This window comes from Homo sapiens, chromosome 12 (assembly GCF_000001405.40).
Source record: "Homo sapiens chromosome 12, GRCh38.p14 Primary Assembly".
NCBI lineage: Eukaryota > Metazoa > Chordata > Mammalia > Primates > Hominidae > Homo > Homo sapiens.
Genome location: NC_000012.12, coordinates 2,579,580 through 2,598,213, shown reverse-complemented (window position 1 = coordinate 2,598,213; position 18,634 = coordinate 2,579,580). Strand labels below are relative to the sequence as shown.

The window sequence follows — 18,634 nt, the reverse complement described above, 5'->3', positions numbered from 1 at the left end:
CCTGCTCTCATCCTGCTGTACTCAGCTCTCCAGCACAATTCTCCCTCCCCCACGCTCAGGGCAAGGGGCACTGTGACAAAGCTTTGCAGCAGGTGACTGAGGGTCGGCAGTAGTCTGTAATGGCCCTGCTAAAAGCCCTCAGCTGGGAGACCAGCTCCACATCTCACAGTAGGCCTGTGATCACTGTGACACAGCCCCAACTCCAGCTTAGACCCAATATCTGCTGCAAGTACTGAGGAAGGTGCTAAGGATGGGCATCCAAAGAGAGTAGCTCAAGTGATTCTTTCACGCCCCAGGAGGTTTCCCACTTTCAGAGTGTATGAAGCAGGAGGAGGGAAGGAGAGTCCTACGTGGGCTCAGGTATCAGTTAACCGGAGCTGGTGCATGTGGGCATGTATGTCTGGCGCTGCTGACGGCTGCAGCCCCAACCAGTGAAATGGCAGCCTTAATGTTGGCACAGCCAACACGTGTCCCTTCCAGGCCACGGACTGCTTAGGGGTGGCTGGAGGGAGGAGCTGTGGTGGGGTAGGCTGCTCCTGGCTTCTAAGTCTGGGCAAAGTGCATCACACAAAGTGAGGGGCACTCATTTTTCCAATTTCAGGCTTGGGAGTAAAGAAAAGAGAGAGTGAAAGAAACAGAAAAGACAAAAGATCCAGCCACACAGAGCAGAGATAGACAAAGAAAGCGACAGAGGATGCATTGCCCAGGTTGCATTACCTTAAGGATAATTTCTAATGTAAAGATACTAGTGAAGACATAGTCTGCATTGCCTAGGATCTGAAAAATAAGCATAATTGGATTAGTGGCTCTGAGAGTGAACCCCACACCAACAGGAAGGAGCATGTGTGTTAGCGACAGACAGCGGCAGAGACCTGGTGCTGGCACAAGGGGGACAGGAGGAGCAGAAGGGGATGGGGGCTTTACCTTCAGAGCAATTTCAATGGTGAAAATGGTGGTAAAAACAATATCAAAATAAAACAGAATCTGCAAAACAAAAAGGAACAGGGTGGGGATGGGATGGGGAAGGGAGAAAAGCAGGACGGGAAGAGAGGTCAGTGGATGTTCACCAGAAAAGGGGCCACACTTCAAAATGAGATGCCTGGCACTTAAGCCTTTGCACAGGGACACAGATGGACATGGGGGGCAAGCGGCACACACACAGACATCCTGAGGCGGGGCTAGCCTCAGGCAGCACAGCGGCTTCCCTTGAAGCCCCCAGATAAGTGAGGTGAGCTTCCAGGGCATGCCTCAGCTGGTACTGGATCTGAGCAGCATCTGGTTGGATGCTTTTCCCATTAATCCAATTTACTTACAAACCCAAATCAGACCACTAAGATACTTGTCAAAAGGACAGAGAATGGGGTTTGTCTTTTTGCAGGGAGATTCAAAATGCTTCGCTCACGTTGGTGGGACTGAGCTGGCCAGCTTCCTGTGATGGTGGACATCTATTCCTGGGTTATGTCCTCTGGGGCAAGGGAGGTGCATCCTTCAGGTGAGGTCTGCACAGGCTGAGGACCGGCTCCAGGACTGCATACTTATTATATTTCAGGTGATGGATCAGGGATGGGGCCAACACCTGCTAACCTCGGTAAGACAGCCCTGGACCAAGCAGGCCCCAGGAGCGCAGAGTGGTTTGGCATGGGTATGGCTTTAGATCAGCGGGCTGTCTTCATGCCCACTTGGTTGGGACTTGACAAAGTTTTGAGGTTTTGAGATAGAGCAATTCTTAAACTGGCCTTTAATATTGTTCACCAGAGCCTTGGGTGGGTCCTCACATTTGGTTCTACTCTACCAAAGGTACCAAGACTCTCTTTTAGGTAAGGTCAGCCATATCATTGGCACCTATTTGCCAATGCTCCCCTTCTGGTCAGAGCATGCTGGGAGCAAGGGAGGGCATGTAGTCAGTGGCCACATTTTACTAAGTTTGCAGGGAACTAGAGCTTCCTGGGGAACATCCACAGGCAATGAAAGTCCTGATCTTTGCCAATTATCAAACCAGCCTGAGCATTTGGGTACATGCTCTTTTATTTGCTTGTGGTCCTAGGGTGGTTTTCTATCAAAGCCCTACTCTCTTAATGAAATGTTAGTTGTGGATCTAATTATGACACCTAGAATTGGGCTCCTGATTGAACAATGATGTCAGCAACAGAAGCTGTGGGCCTGGCACAGCCCCAGGGGGAAGGAGTGCAGAAGACACAGGCGATGCATACATGGTTCCTGAAGGAGGTGTGCTGGACCGGGTCCTCAGCAGCCAGGGAAATGCTGCTGAGCAGAATGAAGAAGAGGATCAGGTTGGTGAAGATCGTGTCATTGACAATGCGGTGGCACTGGAGGCGAAACCTGTACGGGAGAGGGGACAGGAGGAGAGACAAGTCAAGGCAGACAAGGGGAAGCACCAGTCGGCTCTTGGGAGCCCCTCTCCTCAGCTCTCCCCAGCAGCTGGCAACAGGTGCTTGTTGGCCTGAAGTGACCTCTTCATTCTGAAGTCTTACTGCTGCTTGGTAATGACAACTGCTCACCCCCATGGTGCACATATCATCTTTGATATTTTAGAAGGTTACATCTGAGACCTTTGAGAATCTCTGAATTCCCAAATCCTGCTCTGACATTCATAACTGGCTTTTGTTTGGGGACTTATTTTCCCTATCATTGAAAAGAAATCACTTTATGAGATCAACTCTATGCTTATGCATAAGGCACAATAGGACTACCCGGAGCTGGGTATGCTGAGAGGCCAGCCAAACCGGCTCTCTGTAGGTGATCTGCTCCTGTGTAATAGCTTTAAATGTGCAATTCACTTCCATGCCCCAGCACAATTACCCAACTGAGCTTCTAGGCACTCAGTGATAGCACCAAAAATGCTAGGTTCCTAAATGCCAAAGTGTCTTGTACACCATCTCATCTTGACAGCAATGTAGGAAGGAAGGGATGGGTGTCATCATCTTCATTTCACAGGTAAGAACACTGAAACCCAAGTAGGAGAGGCTTGCCCAGAAACACAGCCTTAGTGTGGGAGAGTCAGGGCTTCAACCCAGGCCTTCAGACTTCTGCTCCTGGCATTATGGTTGACTAAATGCTCTGAGAAGCCCTCCTGCTGCAGAAGCACCAAACCCTCGAAGGGCCAAACTCTCTCAGACAATTCTGGTTTATAAGAGTTAGGAGATGGCTGTAAGAATCATCTGCTTCAAACCAACAACCCCTCCCACCAACCTCCACTGAGCTGAGGCTACGTATGGAGAGAGAGCCAGCCAGGAGGGCAGAATTGCTTGAAGATGGAAGCCAATAACAGCAGTGCTGTCAAGAAATTGCAGGTTAAGCCAGTCTTGAGGTGGGGCAGGAAAGCCTGGGAATTTTAGGCCAAGCCAACACCTCCAAGGGGCATCTGGAAGAAAGTCTCCCCAGACCTACTTTAGGTCTTCAGGACTCTCACAAATGAAGAGGAAGTGTTGGGGTCACAATCAAAGATCATCAGATGCACAAAAGGACAAGCCCCTAAGATGGGAAATCTGAAGAAACACTGGATAAGTGATTTAGATTCCAAAGACTGGAGGTATTGGAAATATTAGATATAGACTATAAAACAACTATATTTGAAATATTTAATGAAATAAAGGACTAAATCACAAAGATGAGGAATTGATAGAAACTACTAGATTTAGAGATGGATCTGGAAAATCAAGCAACAAATGGAACTGACTGAAACAAAAACATATAATGGTCAAGATAAAAAATTGGTTTAAACAGTAATATAGATTAAGTTGAAAATAGAATTAAGAAACTGGAAGATACAGTTGAAGAAATTTCCCAGAATACAGAAAGACAAGGAGATGAAAGATATGTAAGACCCTCTAAGAAACAGGGAGGACAGAATGAAAATGTCTAACAGATGTCCAATTGGAGTGTCAGAAGGAAGAAATATAGAATTAAAAAGAAGCAATATTTAAACATTATGGCTGTACTTTTTCAATAACTGAATAAAAATCTAAATACATAGGCTTAGGAAGCAGAATGTATTCTAAGCAAGACAAATGGAAAGAAATCCACACCTTGACACATGGTAGTAAATCTGTACAACCACAAAGGCAACAGAATATGTTAAAAGCAGCTACAAATAAACGTTAGGTTACTCACAAAGAAACCATAGTTGGAATGACAGCTGACTTTACAGTGGAATAACACCTTTCTTGTGCTGCAGGACAAAAATTGTCTGTCTAAAATCGTGTACACAGCAAAACTATCTTTCAAGAGCAAGAAGTGAAACAGTTATAGGTAAGTAGAGGCCCACTGAATTTGCCATTACGGAACTAAAGGAGCCTCTAAAGAATGTACTTTAGGAAGAAAGAAAATGCTAGCTAAAGGATGGACTGAAATGAGTAAAAAAATGGTGAACAAATAAAATGGTAAGGTGTACATATATCCAAACACACAGTATCTATATAACAGTAAGACTCACTAACTTGTTGGATTAAAAATAAAAGTTGGACTAAAATACTAACGACAATTCCATGTAAGTAAGGAGCAGATGAGTGAGTTAAAATAGTCTAAGGTCACTCTATTATACAGGAGGAGGTTCTTGATATTGTTTAACATCACATTTTGTTAAGTTAAATAGAATTAGTAAATTATCAAGGGTAATCACCCAAAGAATAGAAATAGAGTTTAAACATTTCAAAAAGTGGAGAGAAAAATAAACACAAGTCTTCTGATTCAAAATCCAGGACTCTTCCCTAAATGAGTGCCTGTTTATACAATTTGCAAGGAGCTGGGAGAGTCTCAGTCTCCATCCAGAGGTTCAGGTAAAATACAGGCAACTGCCAGGCTGGTACTAGAGAGAGCAGGACCCCACCTTCCCCACCATTGCTGCACACCTGTTGTTAGAGCTGAAGATGAAAAACGCGCTGGCTTCTGGCATGGGCACTGCCTTTTCCTTAAGGTGAAGCTCAGAGAGTGGTCGTGGGCGAGGGCCGACAGGCATCTCTGGCTCCTCCTCATCCTCTTCTCCTGTAAGAAGAACAGCACCATTCTAAATAACTCCAGCACTCCCACTTATTTTACCACTTTCAGAGACCTTCCTACTGGCAGACATGATTATGGCTCTGAAAATGTAGGGTACCAACCAAGACAGACATTCTGCTGTCTCCCTGTGGGTGCTGCTGCAGCTCATCTCTGCTGGAGAAGTCGTATCTGGCAGTGCACAATAAGGGGGATTGTAAGTAGGGCGACCAACTTGTTCTGGTTTTAAAACTAAAATTCCCACATCCCAGGAAACCCCCTAGTTCTGGGCAAACTGGGGTCGTTGGTCATCCTAGTTGTAAGGTATGAAAAAAGGTGACCAGGTAGGACAGGGCACTGCCAGGTGTTACTCATCTATCTAGGCCGCAGGTTGGGGAAAGGGTATGGCTGAGTTGGCTTGTGGAATCCCTTGCAAATAACCTCACTCTTGGAAGTTCCAGGAATTAGAAACCAACACTTTCCCAATTTCTGCAACTAAAAAAAAAAAAAAAAAAAAATTCATGTGCTGTCGAGATAACAGGGCAATACTACTGACCACAGCAGGCCCTTCATGCAAAGGTTTAGACACTGACACCAATTAAAGAAGCGCCTTCGTTCTCCCAGCCAGTGGCCACATTTAATGTGGACCAAAGTCAGACAGCTTATTCCTGTGCTTGCCAGCACAACGCTCATGACGGGAAGCACTGCCCATCCTGGGCTGCTCAAATGTGTTGAAGATGCTCAGAGGGGAAAGTAACAACATGGGAGTGAAGAGCAGACTCTCCAGCCAATCGCCTGGACCAGAATCCTGGCTCTGTTTCTTTCTAGCCGTGGGCATTTTATTGAGTCTCTCTGTGCCTCAGTTTCTCCATCTAAGGTGGAATAATAATAACAGTACCTCTATACCTCAGAACGGTGCCTGGCACATAGCAGCCGCTCTGTAAGTAAGTGTTTGCTGCTTTTATTACAACCTCTACCTATGGGACAGACTCGAAGCCTGTAAATTAATGCTCAACATCTTTCTCAGTCAGATCCTTACCACCTATTATTCCCTAACAAACTGTCCACTCACACGAAACTATTTTCTGAGCACTTCACTACAGTGGGTTGAACAGTTTCCCCCGCAAACTCATGCCTACCTAGAACTTTGCAATGTGACCTTATTTGGAAATATGGCCTTTGCAGATGTAATTGGTTATGAAGAAGTTATTCTGCGCTAGGATGGGCCCTAAATGTAATGACTGTTATCCTCATCAAGACAGGCACAGAGACACAAAAACACACTTAGGGAAGAAGGCCATGTGAAGACAGAGGCAGAGATTGGAGGGATGCATCTACAAGCCAAGGACTGCCGGCAACCACAAGAAGTTAGGAGAGGCAAGTGAGGATTCTTCCCAAGAGCCTTTCAGAAGGCGCTTGGCCCTGCAGACCCCTTGATTTTGGACTTCCAGCCTCTAGAACTGTAAAAGGATGCATTTCTGCTGTTTAAGCTGCCCAGTGTGTGGTCACTGGTTATGGCAGCCCTAGTGAGCTGACAAGCTCACTGTGTGCTCCGTCCTTCCTCATGCTCTCTCTCTCTCTGTTTGAGCTGCGCTTCATCTCCCTCTCTGCAGAGCACACAAGGACCCCCAATCCAGATAGCATCCTCCTTCCAACTTTCCTGAGTACTCACGCTCCAGGGAATGACCTTTCCATGGATCCCAGCAGAACCTCTGCCTCCAGTACCTTGATGACTGATTTTAAATGTCTGTCCCTTCTCCCTATGTGCTGAAAACCCTGGAAAGAAAAGCTTTGCCTGGCACTAGAAGCCCTTATTTCTTGATGATGATTGAACTTCCACACCGGTCAGAAGGAAGGGGACTCTGTATAAGATGAAGGTGAAGGGGATACTAGTCTGGCTGGAGAAAGATAGTTATGGGATGCTCGTCTCATGGACACAGCTGTGCCTCTGCATGTTCTCCCTCTTCTGGTTCAAACAAAGCCAGGTACTGCAAAGAAAAAAAAAATGCCTGGCACAGAAAGCAATTCTTTATCAAGCAAAAAGCATTCAAGCATTTAGGGACCCAAGGCTTTTTTGGAGGGCCAGTACCATACAGACATCAATCAGATTCTTTCCCTAGGGTAATTAGAGCTGACCAGCAAGACAATTAATATTTTTTCAGCAGAAGAGAGGCCCAAGATGAAAAACTGTCTACAGGACAAGAGTTGGAGTTCTTGTGACACCCAACCCTTGGTATGTAAAAGAAAAGTCTTCTACTTAAAGTCGAATAAGTAAAACCAGAATTGGCCTAAATCATGGTATTTCAAGTGAAATTTAATTGAGAAGGATCTTAAATTCCTGCCTAGGTGTTTGTATTCTTTTCAGTTTTGCTCGAAATGACCCAACACTTTCTTCTTCATGATAATTTGATAACAGGTAATTTTATGCTTATTTTAATCATTTGTGTTTACAGAAACCCATATTTACTATAGCTTTGTGCCATTCGAACTTCCTAATGGAAAACGGTGCAGGCTCTTACATCTGCACGAGCTCCCCCCCGTTTATGAAGCTCCATGCTGAGCTCCATTCCTGGGGAGAAGCAAGTTAGCTGGTCCATTCAGACACACAGCAGCTGAACCTCAGGCACAGTACTTAAGAGGAAACGATTTCTGAAGGACAAACTCAGATTTGTAAAGGAACACAACTTTGACAGCACGTGATGCTTAGCAGGTATTATGGATGAGGAGGGATGCTGACAGATCAGGGAAAGTCAGGCAAGGCTCATTTTGGGGTTGGCAACTGAACCACCTAGCCTCCTACTCCCAAATGCCAGTAGAATACATTAGGGATCTTTCTTTTCTAATTTTTGTTCTTGGAGGTTTGGAAAAAAGCATCGGAAGTGAGGTGCTGCTGCACGCTGGAGTTGCTGCTGCATTTCAGAAGGCAGGTCAGAGGATTCCAAAGTAAAACCAGGGTAGCACTCAAAGCCCCACCCTTGGTCCTTGGCAACCCTTGCCCCCCTCCATCTGATGCTCATCCTCACTTCTGTGATTTTGCTCTTGGCCACATAAAGTAAAGACATTTGTAGGATCTAGTGCCTACAGAGTATTGAGCCCAAGGCTGAGAAGACAAAGCCATGGTTCTTGTCCTCAAGGAGCTTAGTTTCTAGCAGGGCGCAAGAGTCTGCTACCAGCTGAAGGGAGTGCCTGGTTGGTAAGGGCCAGACACCCGGAGCAGTGCCTTGGGGCACAAGGAGCACAGGTGGTGGATACAGTTTCTGCATTGGGGATTTTCTCTTCGCTGGCTCAATTAGAAAACCTCAGAATCACCCTACATTTCTCTTTCCCTCTCTCCAACATCTAAGCTGTGAGTGAATCCAGCTGGTCCTACCTGCAAAATGTACCCCAAGCCTGACCACTTCTCTGCATCTCCGGCACCATCCCCTGTCCAAGCTGCCATCCTCTCTGCCTGGATACTGCGCAAGTATCCTCCCTGCCCCCATTCTGCTCTCGAACACCACTGCTCTTTATTCACACCGCTCAGAGGGAATCTCTGAAAGGGTGAGTCGGACATCAGGTCAGGGCCTCCTCTGCTCAGACGTTCTGGTGGCCCTCTAGGGCACTGGATCAGACCCAGCCTCCCGCATGGCCCTGCGCCTTCTGCCCTGCCCTCCTGCCCTGCCCCGGCCTCTCGCCTCAGGGCACTATCCCTTGGTTCTCTCTGCTGCAGGCACACTGGCCCTCTTTGGAGTCCCCACAGCCAAGTGCATCCCTGTAAGAGACTCTGCACTCAGGGTCTCCACCTAGAGAGCTCTTCGCTCCGATTCCATGTCTAGTTCTTTTGAATCCTTCAGGTTCCAGTCAAATGCTGTGTCCTCAGAGAAGCCTTTGCTGACCACACAGTCAAAGCAGCCTGACCCCTGAGTATCCCCTAACACAATCCTTGATTTTACTATCTTCACATCATGTGATGTCACCTTTTTGGTTGGTTTGTCTGCTGCCTGTCTCCCCACTGATATGTCAGTTCCAGGAGGGTGGGGGTCTTCCCTGTTTGCCCACAACAAGGACCCCCATGTCCCTGGTACCTAGCACAGTGCCTGGCACACATTAAATGCTTCATGAGTAGTTCATGAATATCTACAAGGTTCCTCCCAACTCTCAGCATCTCTGATGATTGTACGATCCTGAAAAAACTCCTTCAGCCTCTCCAACTCCCTGACTCAAAGCTCAGTCAAGACCACCCTTCTGCATGAAGCCCCCAGACTCCACCACCTCATGGCTCTCCTTGTCCTTGAACCCTCTGCAGCAATGAAAGCCTCCCCCAGCACAGGCGGTGCTGACTACTCAGTGTCTGGTGGCACTCCTTTTTTTTTAGTGTGTACCTGTTAACTTTAAGTCCTTAGTGGCTCTTGCAAACATCTGCATGCTCACTCAAATAAATTAATAAATTAAACAAAAGTAGAATTAGCTTCCACTCATCTGGGCACAATGCTTTCCTTTTCAGTGAGTTGGGTTTTTCTCTATAATTAGGGTATACCGATCTGGGAGGTTGAAAGCAGCTGGCGAGCTTTTCAGATGAAACAGAGAGGGAAGGATTCTAGGGCCATGGCTGGCCTCGATGGCCCCTTGTTGAATTAGAAACAGGCCCCTCCTCTGAGTATTCGCGGTCATGCGAGGGTAATTGAAGCTGCAGCCAGCAGAGTGCACTCTGGAGTCCAGCTCCCACTTGGCCACTCTGATACATCACTTTGGGTGCAATCTGGACAGCCCAGGAGAGAGGGAGAGGGCAGGGGGCAAGCCTAGGAGACAGGGCAAGAGAGAGACAGGGAGGGAGCAGGAGAGCATGGCAGTGTGCTCCCTGACACCGGCCCTTTCTCCCTAGTGGTCTGGCTGAAGGCAGAGCAGGAGGGACACTCACCAGTGCTGCCTGCTAAGGGGTACCTGCATGAACCAGGCATGGCAGGGGCCAGCGGCCTGGAAGGGGCAGCGGTTGGGAGCACAATGGTAGATCAGGATCTTTGCCATTCGTGGTTCGGGAGAACAAGAAGCAGGAAGGAACCAGAGATTGACCAGAACAGAGACAACAGGCCACGTGATCTTCGGAGGAGTCTCTGGGAACTTCTGCTGCACCTGGCACTAAAGGATCCAGGAGCTGACTGTGGAGGCAGGGAAGGGAGGAAATGGGAAGGCAGGAAGAGCTGGGAAGCACAAGCTAACTTAGCCTTTGGGGGCAGAGTGATGTGTGGGGCCACCAGCTTTAAGAGCATGCTGCCCTTTGGACCTCCTGGATGAGGACCTGGAAACCAGGGATAGTGCACAAATGGGCATGCTTGGGGCTGGCTTCAGAGGCCGGAGTGGTGGCTGGTGTACGTGGTGGGGCAGTCAGGGCAGCCTCAGGGTATGGACCAGAGGTCTCAACACGAAAGTAAAGAGACACATGTAACCAACAGAAATGACGGGGAGCGGGCCGTACACTCAAAAATCTCAAGAATCCTGAGGCCTCAGCAGAGGGTGGGAAGAGCTTTTCAGCTGGAAAGCGTAAGCATCCCCCAGTCCTCAGAGCCACTGGGTAGCTACGTGAGAGGCATTTCTAGGATGGCCGACCTGGTGACAAAATCCTCATTAGCCCTTTTTTTTTAAAATTAACATTCTTCTCTTTGATTTCATTAGAGCAACAAAGAAAAGAAAAGCCAAGAGTATAGATTAATAGAATTTGAGATTTTTGTTGAAGATGCAAGAGGTGTATCTGCCGTACAGGCCTGGCTGCAGCTGGGTGCCTGTGTGAAAAGACCCTCATGCTAGATCTGCCCTGTTGTGTGTGCAGGGAGGCCCATCCTGGAGGCTGGCCCCATGGGAGGGCTCTTCTCAGGGCTCTAAGGAATTTGTTTTATTACTGTCTTTCATTTTAAACCTTAAAGATTTACACAAGAGTACAGTCTCACATACTAAACCTCATATATATAACCAGCTTCAACAACTTTGGACATTTTGCTAATCTTGTTCCATTTATCTTCTCTGTCCCCATTTTTTTTTTGTTGGAATATTTTAAAAGCAAAGCAACTCGTAAACATTTAGACTCTGGCCATAAACACTGCAGCAGTTTAAAAACAGAACTACAAAATATTATACCAACAAGATTAACAAAACTACTTTCAATCATTTAGTTCCCAGTCCATATTCAATTTCCCCCATTTCCCTCTAAAACGTCATTTTAAAGTGTATTTGTTGCTTCAGGATCAAGGCAAGATCCTCCCATTGCATTTGTTCAATAATTCTAGTACGTCGTTGAAATTCCCTAACGGTTTCACCCTAGAAGGGGTTTTAAGAACTTCAAAGCCTTAATGCCGGGCATATGAAAACGCCCTTCCTGTTCTTTCTATCCAAGCTCCAGGAAACCACATCCTATTCCCTTGCAGGAGGAGGGGAGTGAGGATGGTGTGACCACAGGGAGTCTGGTTCCCAAGGATGCCTGTGAGTGTTCTAAGCAGAGAACCAGCGGAGGGAAAGCAAAAAGGGAAACCGAGCTTTGCTCATAAATGTAGGAGGTTCTCAGCCACCTAACTTGGTGAACAACCCAAATATAGCCTAACCTACAGGAACAAGGAAATGTCAGTAAAATCAACAGTCCCTTGATAGCATGTTATTGACTTCAAGCTTGAAACTGGCGATAATATCTGCAATCCTAGGTCAGAGGAAGGCAAGCCCAGGCCTTGCACAGGGTATGGGATTTCAGGGAGCAGGGAAGTGAAGCCTGGAGGGAGGACCTCTGATCTCTGACATTAAAGCTCTTGAGAAGCAGACTGCCTGCCAATTTAGGTATCAGATAGAAGCATAAAAAGATGGAGTCAGTAAGCGCGCCTTTTATAATGAGACCTGAAATCATTGCCTAAAGCAACAAGTGGGACATCTGTGGTGGCAGCTGTCCCTGCACTCGGCACTGCCTCCTGAGTAGGGGCAAGGCAGACTTGGGATTGACTATTAATATTAAGTGAGCATAATGTTGCAACATATGCCATACTAATACATTATATAAATTAATGATGATTTTACAACATGTAATGTAACAAAAATTTAAATGTACACTGAATCCAACTTGGAAAGGACACAAAAGCACTGCTCAAATGTGATCTCATTATGAGGAAACCAGAAACAAACCTGCCTCCCAGATGCTGACTGATGATGCTTAAATATAGAGATAGAAGACACTCAGCAGTGGAAGGTACTTACAGAGGGACACTGGAACCATGGTCCCTAATATATGGCCACTCCCACGTGGCTTTAGAATTTAGATCTCTGCCCCCAATCTCCCAATCCCAGGTTAGGCAGTGGGACTGGTACCTGTAGTTTCTGGGTTGGGGTAGGGGCTCTTATCCTCATTTTCATTGGGCTGGAGGTCATCCATGTTGATCTAGACAGTCACAGGGGAGAAGGGGGAAGAATAGTTAGATACGTCCCCAAGTTAAGAGGCTTGCAGTAGCCTTGAAGTTGCATTTTAGTCAGTGACTTAGCTCAAAAATAGGTACTTGTCACTTTGCATATCTCCTTCAAGACATCAGCAGATGGCTGGGATCCAGCCAATCTGCCTTATCTTCCCCCTCCCAGCTCTCCTGTTCATCCCCACTGGCTTTCTTTCCACTGGGTGTCTTTCTTTCTCTCCTCTTCTCCACAGGGTTCTGGCCTGGGAAGGCTGTGGCCCTCCCTCCCCAGCACCGGCCTCACAGCTCCAGGAAGGAGACAGCTCCTCACCTTGGTGGCGGGTGGAGACTCTCCGTCAGCCGTGATGGATTTCAGCTCAATCTTCTCCTCCTTGGATTCCCCCACTGCCGGCTTCTCCACCAACTCTTGTTTCTTCTCTGGGCTGGCAGTCCTGGCCAGTCAGCAGCAGAAAAAAATAAATGGCTGTTTACTGGAGTGATAGGGAACAGTGTAGGAGGGAACCGCCCTGTGGCCTGTTGGGGCCAGAGGGGACAGATCCCCTGGGTCTGAGTCCATCTTCCTTTCTCCAGGACGCTTCTCGTGTGCAGCTCAGTCACAAGTGCTATGGGGCTGAGCTACACCTGCTCTGCCTGACACGCAATTGGCCTCTTGCAGCTCCAGAGATGCCTGGGTCGCCAAAGCAGAAAAGGATGGTGGATCTCATCTAGGATTGGCTCCTGGAGGAGCTCTGCTCAGTGCCCGGCAGCTGTGTGGCCTGGAACTGTCCCGTCTAGATAATGATAGGATACAACATAGGGCCCCGTCTTGCCTTCCTAACACTGGAGATGAATTATAAAGTAGTGAGGAGGACTCCCTCTGTAAGCTGGAGCTGCGTTTCCCAACTGAGTGGTTACCTTTCTCTCTCCCCACCCTACACTCCTGCCACCTATCACAGCTTCTCAAAAGATAATCCCAGCAGGTGGAGAATATGACACCATTGCAGAGATTATTATAATTCATGATGGTCCCTACCAGAGTGATGCTTAGGAATTAGGAGAGAGGCCCAACTTAGGAAGCCCCAAACCCAGAGTCCTCCTAGGAGGGAGAGCCAACAGAGGCTAGCAGTCAAGCCTCTCTCTGCCACCAGTGGGAAGACATTCCACAATGGGAGCCCTGGAGCCCCAGGCCTGGGCAAGCTTAGAGGGTTACCTGGCCAGCTTCTTTCTCTCCTTCTCCTCTTCCTCCTCCTTTTGGGCAGATGTGAGGCTCTCAGCATCAGCCAGGTTGTCCACAGCAATGGCCAAGAACACATTCAGTAGGATATCTGTTTGTGTCCATTCTTAAAGAAAATGACCCTTGGTTTGGGGTTTTGGTGGGCACAGGGGCACGGGGGATGTGGGGCGTGCAGGGTAGAGCTCCTCAGCAGAGAGAGCTTGAGGGGGAAGCAATTTGAGGGAGTCAGACCCCAACAGTGTTCCTCCCCTCCCCTTCCTCCCCATCACCCTCCTAGCTACCTGGAGCTATCAAGAGGGATGAGAACAGGCTAGCCTGCACACTGGAGCAGGCGGGAGGGAGGCAGCAAGCCCTGCCTTGCACTTTAATTGCTGGGTTTCATGATTGCTTTCCCTGCTGAGATGACTGGCTGTAATTGACATTATAAACAGCATTGTCTCTAGCAGGATGCAGAACGCTCTTAAGAGCGGTTTATTATAACTGGGCGCTGAGGGGGTGGCTTGGTATCTCTGCCAACTCTTAATGTGAGCCTGCACCCACGAAGACCCTTGGAGGGTCCATCTGGAGCCAGCCAAGGCTTGGGAGTTCCCAGTGGAGACAGTTCTTTGCCCTTTCTCCTCCCCACTCCACCAACAGAAACACTGTGGGTCAGAGAACTGCAGAATCAACGAAAGCATAGCTGGAAGGGGGCTTTAAGTCTGTGAAGTCTGACCCCCGGCCCCAGGCACCCAGACATTCATATCATTTCACACACAGGGAAGCCGCAGCAACCCAGGCTGGGGAAGAGGGGCTTTGTCCAGGGTGGCTTCTGAATGTGGCAGAGGCCTTGCATGCATGATCCCATGAAAACTCCCAACGACCCTTTATGTAGTAGGTTCTATGATTCCATTGCCACATTTTACAGACACTGAGGTAGAGGACCTTCAATCTGCAAGAGGTCATCCAGCTGGGAAAAGAGGAAACCTTGTCTGCAGGCTTCCATGACTGTGTTTTCTGCACTGCCTTAGCTGGGACTTGGCCCAGAGCTGTTCCTATGTTACCCCTGGCTCTGGACGTGACTCTCTCGGGGTTATGAGCTGGGGAAGAGAAGCAGCACCCGTGGCTTGTGCCCTGGAAACCTGCCCCAGCCGGGATCAGGAAGGAGCTTTTGGGGCTGTTTGAAGTCTGTGCAGCTCTGCCCGTGACTAAAGTCCTGGAGAGCAGCATCAGAGAGAGGGCTGCTGACCAAAAAGCAGGAGGAGAGCTGAAGGTCACTTGAAGGACAACGGCTCATCCTCCCTCCCGGAGCGTCCCGCCTCTGAGCAGACGCCGCGGCCCCAGGGCAGCCGGCCCGCTCCCGCGCGTCCCTATCGCAGGCGGTGTGAGTGGCCGCACACGCCGCAACGCCAGGGGGCGCCGCTCACCCAGATTACGGCGACAGCCCGCCCGGAGCGCGGCGCCGCTGCGGGCCCGGAGGGTTCAGGAAGGTGAACCTCACCCATGCCAAAGCTGCAGGTTTCCACCCAGACCCACCTCCGCCGCCATGGGGTTCTAGGCTGGGTGGTGTGAGCCCGAGCAGGACCGCCCGGACCTGAGGGGCGTGCCCGTTTGGCACTGTGCTGCAGGCTGGGGGCTGGGGGCCGCAGGGGTGGGGGGCAGCAGCAAAGGATACAGTTTCCACAGATGAAGAGGATGATGAAGTAAATACAGACTAACATCCCTGGAAAAGAGGGGCCGCCATAAGCCATGATCCCATCATACATCACCGAATTCCAGTCCTCCCCGGTCAGGATCTGAATGACACATTCCCACCAATAAGGGACACAGCGTTAGACCAACAGCAAACCCAAAACCACCCTGCCCTGCCCCACTACGTCAACAAAATTGTCCAAAATTTCCCTTTCACTTCTTTCCCTCCTCCTGGCCCCCAATTCTCCTCCCCAGGGGCTCTGAGCTATTGAACTGTCCTTAGACAAAATGCCTGGCTATTGGCATAATATTATTTGAAGGGTGACTAAAAGGGCTTTTTGGCCCAAAGATCTCTGACTTTCCCCACACATGCTTGAGCTGACCGTCAGCCATTCCTGGGGGTAAGGCGTCAGGACCCTTTTGCAGTTGTGTGTTTGCTGAGACAGCCACAGGCTACACCAGCTTTCCCCAAACATTCGTCACTGGGGCATCATCTTCAAGACTTTGACAACATCTACATGTGATTCATTTTTACCTCTCAATCGATCTGCTTTTAAACTTAAATAGATGCCACTTTGAGTTTGCCCTAAGCCAAAATATCTATGAAATCACAAATTTGATGGGCTAGTAATATTTTTTTCAAGAGACAAGCATGGTAGGAAAGCCAGGGTTTCGTCACCCTCCCCTCCCCCAGTAAGAGCAGTCTGCTTTTCTTTATGTTTTGGGCTTTCATGGAGAATTTAAGTAAAGGATTCCATGGATAAGAACGATTTTTTTTTTTTTTATTTGAGACGGAGTCTTGCTCCGTCACCTAGGCTAGAGTGTGCAGTGGTGCAATCTTGGCTCACTGCAACCTCTGCCTCCTGGGTTCAAGAGATTCTCCTGAGAAGGCATTTTTAAACCACTTATATTGTTTCCCCTAATGGTCCACCCACTAGTGGAATTCCATGGCAGATGGGGACAGGGAAACTACAGAAAAAACTCAAGACTCTCCCGGGCATGGGCTCTCCAGGGCTGATCTAGGATGGCTGTGGCTGCCCGGTAAAAGGGTGCAGCTTCCCACACTCCTCCCACCACCCCGCCACTCAACCACCCCGAGTCCGAATCCCAGCAGAGAAGAGTCCATACCTGAAACACAGTGAGGAGGGACTGGGGGAAGTTATCGAATGTGCTCCTCCGGGTCTGCATCTCATCAAAGTTGAACTTTCCTCCAAAGAGCTGCATCCCCAGGAGGGAGAAGATGATGATGAAGAGGAAGAGGAGAAGGAGCAGGGAGGCGATGGAGCGCACAGAGTTCAGCAAGGATGCCACCAGGTTGCTCAAGGAGTTCCAGTACCTGAGAGCCAACAGGAGGGAGGTCAGCACTCTGCCCCTTGCTGTCCTCCCCATCGTGCCTCATTCTCACAACTGCCCACTGCAGGTTCTCAGAGGAGCTGCCACTCTATGCTCTTTTTCCCTGCCCGTGGGGGATGCGTGTTGGTGGTGGTGTGAGTTGCCACCCTGGAGGGAGTTAATTCAAGGTCTCAAGATGATTAATCTGTTGGGGAAGAGAGGGGGACAGTGGTCAGAAGCCCGCGACCTAGCTCTGCCGGCTACCTGCTGCATGTGCCTCTGGGCAAGACATTTCACTTCCCTGCCTTCTGCATCCCCATCAAAAAAATGGAGATTGTTGTAGCCCTTGCTTCATTAGGCTATGGCAGGATTGCGTGACATGATCCACCTTTCCCCAAAGAGCCCCCTGTAGAGTGCCTGGCACATAGTTGATAAAGGTTGGTAATCATTGTTGTCACTGTTGGTCTCTAAACAGAAAGAAAGCTTTTTTTCCCCCACCATGAATGCCAGTCTGAGCTCAGCCTATAGGCAGCAGCCTTCTAGCAGAGGCAGGAATTAGGTCACCCACGGGTAAGAGAGAGTTCATGGCTTGGTGGTTTCCCAAGTTTACGCTGTCCTAAGAATTGTTTCTTTAAGGGCCTTTCCTCTTGAGATTGTGATTCATTAGCTGTAGTTTGGGGCCCAGATATCTTTGTTTCTAACAAGCATCCTACAGGATTCTGATCAGCAGGTGAGTCTGGGAAATCCTAGATTATAGCAAACCTGTCACACCCACTGGGGCAGCTCAAAGCACGAGTCCTCTGAGTGGGCAGGAGCTCGGTCCTGAGGGGACATGGGCTTTCAGTGGGATTCCTGGGGAGGAGGTCCCCACTCCTTACAGTCCTGGGGCCTCTCTCCACTATAAATACAGCGATCCTGGGAAAATCCCTTTCTCATGACAAAGTGGGAGGGGGAACCTACTAATGACTGCTGGATGCAGGGTGGGCACCTGTGTGAGGGTCAGCTCAGGACCAGGAAGTGCACCATGGCAAAAGGACATGGCCCTGAGGGAGCAAGAGCAAGAACAGAACAATCTCATTTCCCTCTGGCCCCCTCTGGCCCACCTGCCTCCTAGGTCACTCCCTTGAGAGATTCCCAGCTCATCACCAATCCAGACAGTGGATTGCTTTTGCTGCTTCAGTGAGTGACATGCAAGCCACTCCCATTGCAGCCACAGCCTGGGCTCATCTCTGCAGAGAATGGTTCCACACCAAGGGACAGAAGCAGAGGGGTCATAGTTTGGATGGCAACATGAACTCTTTACCAACCTGCAGCCTCGAGGGCACCTTTGGCCTCCACAAATCCAGCTTTTCCTTACTTCTATTTTGCCTGCCAGCCATACCCCCTCTGTTGCAGAATATTAATATACATCTATTTGTATCTGTTCTATACAGTCTTGTCTCACCAAAATAGGCTCTAAATTTTAGACGGCAGAAGATTGCAGGGTTTTGTCCCCCTCCAGCTTCCCAACTCTGTCCTTATATAAATTCTGTACAACCCAGTATGTGTGATGGACTGCCTGGAGCCCCTGCAGGCTAGAGGCTGTAGTGATCTGCTTAAAGGAAAAAGTAAGAGAACCTCTCTGGGGGTAGAACACCCTCCCCTCTTACAGCTAAAGCAGTTTTCCCAAGCCTGCCCGGTGATCAACATCAGTAGAGGTGGCTGGGCATGGTGGTGGCTCATGCCTATAACCCCCTTTGGGAGGATTGTCACTTTAGGAGGTCAAGGCAGGAGGACTGCTTGAGGCCAGGAGTTTGAGACCAGCTTGGGCAGCAGTGTGAGACCTCATCTTTAAAAAATTAAAAAATTAGCTGGGTGTGGTGGTGCATGCCTGTAGTCCCACCTACTGGGGAGACTGAGATGGAAGGATCACTTGAGCCCAGGAGTTTGAGGCTGCAGTGAGCTATGTTTGCACCATTGCCCTTCATCCTGGGTGACGGAGTGAGACCCTGTCCTAAAATATTAATTAATTAAT

At 48.9% G+C, this 18,634-nt stretch overlaps 1 protein-coding gene across 56 annotated transcripts in view; it reads right to left on the bottom strand.

Annotated features, from left to right (window-relative positions):
• CACNA1C (calcium voltage-gated channel subunit alpha1 C) overlaps nucleotides 1–18,634 on the bottom strand; it is a 727,171-nt gene that overhangs the window by 99,737 nt on the left and 608,800 nt on the right. For 33 of the 56 annotated variants that reach the window (XM_017019926.3, XM_017019934.3, XM_017019946.3 and 30 more), the window contains 8 exons: nucleotides 16,417–16,624; nucleotides 15,272–15,392; nucleotides 13,597–13,711; nucleotides 12,718–12,838; nucleotides 12,310–12,379; nucleotides 4,869–5,001; nucleotides 2,211–2,340; nucleotides 925–984 (listed from right to left, as the gene is read on the bottom strand). In XM_017019926.3, coding sequence (XP_016875415.1) covers nucleotides 925–984; nucleotides 2,211–2,340; nucleotides 4,869–5,001; nucleotides 12,310–12,379; nucleotides 12,718–12,838; nucleotides 13,597–13,711; nucleotides 15,272–15,392; nucleotides 16,417–16,624 — 958 coding nt within the window. Of the gene's footprint in view, nucleotides 1–717; nucleotides 778–924; nucleotides 985–2,210; nucleotides 2,341–4,868; nucleotides 5,002–12,309; nucleotides 12,380–12,717; nucleotides 12,839–13,596; nucleotides 13,712–15,271; nucleotides 15,393–16,416; nucleotides 16,625–18,634 lie in introns of all 56 variants that reach the window. The other 23 variants (XM_017019949.3, XM_017019947.3, XM_017019950.3 and 20 more) reach the window with 2 other exon arrangements.